Genomic DNA, 6,297 nt, shown 5'->3' on the forward strand with positions numbered 1-6,297 from the left:
AGCATGTATTATTTTGATTCTAGCCATCCTAGTGGATGTGAAGTGGTATCTCATTGTGGTTTGGATTTGCATTTCCCTGACAAGTAAGGATACTGAGCATCTTTCCATGTATTTGTTGGCTATTTGCATATCTTCTTTGAAGAAATGTTTATTAAATCCTTTGCCCATTTTTTTTTTTTTCCGAGACAGAGTCTTACTCTGTCACCCAAGCTGGAGTGCAATGGCGCGATCTCGGCTCACTGCAACCTCCACTTCCCAGGTTCAAGCAATTCTCCTGCCTCAGCCTCCCGAGTAGCTGGGATTATAGGCTCCTGCCACCATGCCCAGCTAATTTTCATATTTTTGGTAGAGACGGGGTTTCACTGTGTTGGTCAGGCTGGTCTCGAACTCCTGACCTCAGGTGATCCACCTGCCTTGGCCTCCCAAAGTGCTGGGATTACAAGCGTGAGCCACCACGCATGGCCTCCTTTGCCCATTTTTAAATTTGGTTATTTGACTTTTTATTATTGAACCCTTTAGGTACTCTAGATACAGGTTCCTTATAGATATGTAATATGCAAATATTTTCTTCCATTTTGTGGATTGTCTTTTTACTTTCTTGATCATTTGCAGCACAAAAGTTTTTAACTTTGAGGAAGCTCAGTTTATTTTTTCTTTCGTCGTTTGTACTTTTGTTATTGTGTCTAAGAAACCACTGCCAAATCCAAGGTAATGAAGACATACTCCTAAATTTTCTTCTAAGAGTTTTCCAGTTTTAGCCCTTACACTCAGGCCATGATCCGTTTGAGTTCATTTTTGTGTGTTGAGTGAGGAAGAGGTCCATCTTCATTCTTTTGCATGGGGATATCCAGTTGTCTCAGCACCATTTGTTGAAGAGACTATTCTTTCCCCATGGAATTGTCTTGGCACCCTTCTCAAAATCAGTTGACCACAAATGTAAGGGTTTATTTCTGAGCTCTTAATTCTGTTCCATTGATGTATAAGCCTATCCTTATGACGGTAGTGCACTGTCTTGATTACTGTAGTTTTGTAGTAAGTTTTGAAATCGGGACATGTGACTCCTCCAACTTTGATCTTTTTCAATATTTTTTTGGCTATTCTGAGTCCCGTGCGTTTTCATATGCATTTTATGGTTAAATTATCTATTTCTGCAAAGCAGCCTGGGATTTTGATAGGGATTCCATTGAATCTGTAGGTGAATTGGGGGAGTATTATCATCTTGACAATGTTTGTTTTCCAATCCATGAACATATATATTTTTCCATTTTTTAGATCTAAAGATTTTTCAACAGTGTTTTATAGTTTTCAGTTTACAAATCTTGTGCTTTTTTCTTAAATTTATTCCTAGGTATTCTTTGGTTTTGCTGCTATTATAAATGGGATTGTTATCCTAATTTGGTTTTTGGATACTTCAGTGCTAGTGTATAGAAATACAACTGACTTTGGCATGTTGATTTTGTATCCTGACACTTTTCTGAACTTGTTCCTTAGTTCTGATTTTTTTTTTAGCAAAGTTCTTAGGATTTTCTGCATTTGAGACTGTGTCATCTGCAAATAGAGATAGTTTTGCTTCTTTGTTCCATCTGAGTGCCTTTTTATTTCTTTTTCATGCCTGATTGTCGTGGCTAGAACCTCTTCTACAATGTAGAATAGAAGTGGGGAGAGCAAGTCCAGGTGCAGTGGTTCACACCTGTAATCCCAGCACTTTGGGAGGCTGAGGTAGGTGAATCACCTGAGGTCAGGAGTTCGAGACCAACCTGACCAACATGGAGAGACCCCATCTGTACTAAAAATACAAAAATTAGCCGGTCGTGGTGGCTCATGCCTGTAATCCCAGCTACTCCGGAGGCTGAGGCACGAGAATTGCTTGAACCCCGGGAGGCGGAGGTTACAGTGGCAAAATGTTGATTTTCTAATTCTCTCATTCTTTCTGTACTTTTTTATCTGGAATTCTTCTATGGAGACAAAGTATTCCCCATTAATTACTTGGTGACCTTGGGGTTCTGCCTGGGGACAGAAATGCCATGATAAATGTTTAATTCTTTCCATTTATCAGTTTGCAGAGTTATGAGATGGTGCTTTAGCATGGTGAGGGTTATTAAAATTATCTCTGTGGGCTCACATACATATTTTACATACTTCAATCAATTACACTCATTATTGTTTATGATGCTCAAATTATTTCTTGTTTGGCCAGTGGGAGCCCCTTCAAGGTGACTCCTGTGCCTTCCTGATAGTATCCTGGCAAGCTGTCCCAGGTTTGTGTTATAAATTTCCTGTCTCAGATGTGGAATCAGCCATTTGGGGGCTTTTCTTTTTTAAAACTTAATCCACTGGCTGGCCACGGTGGCTCATGCCTGTAATCCCAGCACTTTGGAAGGCCAAGGCAGGCGGATCATCTGAGGTCAGGAGTTTGAGACTAGCCTGGCCAACATGGTGAAACCCCATCTCTACAAAAATACAAAAATTAGCCAGGCATGATGGCGGGTGCCTGTAATCCCAGCTACTTGGGAGGCTGAGGCAGGAGAATCGCTTGAACCCGGGACCAGAGGTTGCAGTGAGCCGAGATCGTGCCACTGCACTCCAGCCTGGGCAACAGAGCAAGACTCTGTCTTAAAACAAACAAACGAAAACCAAAAAAACCCAAGTTAATCCACTTATGAATAAAAATTACCTCAAAATACTGATTTGCTACATCCAGTAAGTTTTGGTGTGAAATACTAACATTCCAGTTGAGATATAAATATTTTGTTTTTTCTTTTTTTAATCTTGAGACAGAGTCTTGCTGTGTTACCCAGGCTGGAGTGCAGTGGCTCAGTCACGGTTCACTGCAGCCTCAATCTCCTGGGCAGAGGCGATCCTCACACCTCAGCCTCCCAGGTAGCTGGGACTATGGGCATGGCCACACCTGATTAATTTTTTCTATTTTTTGTAGAGACGGGGTTTCACCATGTTGCCCAGGTAGGGCTCGAACTCCTGGGCTCAAGTGATCCTCCTGCTTCAGCCTCCCAAATTGCTGGGATTACAAGCATGAGCCACCGTGCCCAGCCTATTTTGTAATTTTTATTTTGATTTACTCTTTTTAAAAAACAGTTTTATTGGGATGTAATTTACATACTATACAACTCACTGATTTAAAGTGTACAATTCAATGGTTTTTAGTATATTACCAGATATATGCCACCATCGTGACAGTTGGGACATTTGAATCACTTCAGAAGGAAACCCTTCAGTAAGCTGGGGACACAACAAAGAAATACAAAAGTAAAACAAGAAAAGGAGAATGAAGAAAATCAATTTCTTAAAAAAAGAAAAAAAAGAAACCATATCCTTTAGTTATCATTCCCTCATCCCTCATCCTCCCAACCTCCCAACCTCCCAACCTCCCAACCTCCCAACCTTAATAACCACAAATCTACTTTCTGTCTCTATAGGTTTTTCGATACTAGACATTTTTTTCTTTTTCTTTTTTTTGAGACAGGGTCTGGCTCTGTCACCCAGGCTGGAGTGCAATGGTGATCTTGGCTCACTGCCACCTGCGCCTCCTGGGCTCAAGTGATCCTCCCCCCTCAGCTTCCCACATAGTTGGGATGACAGACATGAGATACTGCACCTGGCTGCTATTCTGGACTTTCATAGAGTGGAATAATATAATATGTGGTCATGTCTTTGAAGTTCATCCATGTTATAGCATGAGTTCATTCCTTTTTATTTTTAAATTATTTTATTTTTATTATTTTATTTTTTTAAGGGACAGATCTCTCTCTCTCTCTCTCTCTCTCTCTCTCTCCCTCCCTCCCTCCCTCCCTCTCTCTCTCTCTCTCTCTCTCTCTCTCTCTCTCTCGACAGGTTCTCACTCCGGTTTCCCAGGCTGGAGTGCAGTCGCACCATCTTAGCTCACTGCAGCCTCGACATTCGGGGCTCAGGTGATACTCCCACCTCAGCCTCCCGAGTAGCTGGCACTACAGGCATGTGCCACCCACGTCCAGCTAGGTTTTGTATTTTCAGAAGAGATGGGGTTTCGCTATGTTGCCCAGACTGGTCTCCGACTCCTGCGCTCAAGTGATCTGCCTGCATCAGCCTCCGAAAGTGCTGGATTACAGGGGTGAGCCACCGAACCTGGCCCCATTCCTTTTTTAAAAACAGCTTTATTGAGATATAATGTACACAGCACACAATTAACTCATTTAAAGTGTAGAATTCAATGGCCATTAGTGTATTTATAAAATTGTGCAACCATCACCATAGTCAATGTTAGAACCTTTTTATCCGGCCGGGTGTGGTGGCTCACGCCTGTAATCCCAGCACTTTGGGAGGCTGAGGCAGGTGGATCACCTGAGGTCAGGAGTTCGAGACCAACCTGGTCAACATGGCGAGACCCCATCTGCACTAAAAATACAAAAATTAGCCGGGTGTGGTGGCTTATGCCTGTAATTCCAGCTAGTCCAGAGGCTGAGGCACGAGAATTGCTTGAACCCCGGGAGGCGGAGGCTGCAGTGGCAAAATGTTGATTTTCTAATTCTCTCATTCTTTTTGTACTTTTTTATCTGGAATTCTTCTATGGAGACAAAGTATTCTCCATTAATTACTTGGCGACCTTGGGGTTCTGCCTGGGGACAGGCGTGGTGGCTCACGCCTGTAATCCTAGCACTTTGGGAGGCTGAGGTGGGCGGATCACTTGAGGTCAGGAGGTGGAGACCAGCCTGACCAACATAGTGAAACCCTGTCTCTACTAAAAATATAAAAATTAGTCAGGCGTGGTGGCGGATGCCTGTAATCCCAGCTACTCGGTAGGCTGAGGCAGGAGAATCACTTGAACCCAGGAGGCAGAGGTTGCAGCAAGCCGAGATCATGCCACTGCACTCCAACCTGGGGGACAAGTGCGAAACTCTGTCTCAAAAAAAAAAAGGCCAAAAAAAGAACCTTTTTATCTCCTCAAAAAGAAACTCTGTACCCTCTAGCCATCATCCCCCTACTCCTTAGCACCCTCCTCCACGCCCAGCCCTAAGCAGCCACTGCTCTACTTTCTGTGTCTGTAGATTTCTAAGTTGCAAACTTTCGTATGACTAGAATCATATAATATGTGGTCTTTTCATTTATATGTGGCTTCTTTCATTTAGCATAATGTTTTCAAGGTCCATCCAAGCTGTAGCATCTATTAGTACTTCATTCCTTTTTATTGCTGAATAATATTCCATTGTATGGATATAACACATTTTGTTTATGCATTCGTCCGTTGATGGACATTTGGATTTCCACCTTTTGGCTTTTATGAATATTGCTGCTATAAACATTTTTGTTTTTATTTTTCATTGTTTGTTTGAGACGGAGTTTTGCTCTTGTTGCTCAGGCTGTAGTGCAGAGGCACGATCTCGACTCACTGCAACCTCTGCCTCTCGGTTTCAAGCGATTCTCCTGCCTCAGCCTCCTGGATAGCTGGGATTACAGGCACCCGCCACCACGCCTGGCTAATTTTTGTATTTTTAGTAGAGACGGGGTTTCACCATGTTGGCCAGGCTGGTCTCGAACTCATGACCTCAGGTTATCTGCCCGCCTTGGCCTCCTAAAGTGCTGGGATTACAGGCGTGAGCCACTGCTCCCGGCCTGCTTTAAACATTTTATATAGGTTTTTGTGTAGACATATGTTTCCATTTCGCTTCAGTGTATACCTAGAAGTGTGATTGCTGGGTCATATGGTAACTATTTGAGGAACTGCCAGACTATATGCCACAGCAGCTGTACCATTTTCCATTCCCACCAGCAATGTATGAGGTCTCTGATTCCTCCACATTCTCACCAGCACTTGTTACTATGACTTCTTTGGCTGTGTTCTTTTTATTTTACTCTTCAGCAGGTTTTTTTTTTTCTTTTCTTTTCTTTTTTTTTTGAGACGGAGTCTTGCTCTGTTGCCCAGGCTGGAGGGCGGTGGCGCGATCTTGGCTCACTGCAACCTCGGCCTCCCGGTTCGCGCCATTCTCCTGCCTCAGCCTCCCGAGTAGCTGGGACTACAGGCACCCGCTGCTGCACCCGGCTAATTTTTTGTATTTTTAGTAGAGACAGGGTTTCACCGTGTTAGCCAGGATGGTCTCGATGTCCTGACCTCGTGATCCGCCTGCCTTGGCCTCCCAAAGTGCTGGGATTACAGGCATGAGCCACCGTGCCCGGCCAGGTTTTCTTTTTAACTGAAGTTCGTAGCTTACATTAAGGTTCACTCTTTGCACTGTACATTCTGTGGATTTGGACAAATGTATAATGACATGTATCCACCATTACAGTATCACACAGAATAGTTTTGAT

The sequence above is a fragment of the Homo sapiens genome, chromosome X (assembly GCF_000001405.40).
Source record: "Homo sapiens chromosome X, GRCh38.p14 Primary Assembly".
Taxonomy (NCBI): Eukaryota; Metazoa; Chordata; class Mammalia; order Primates; family Hominidae; genus Homo; species Homo sapiens.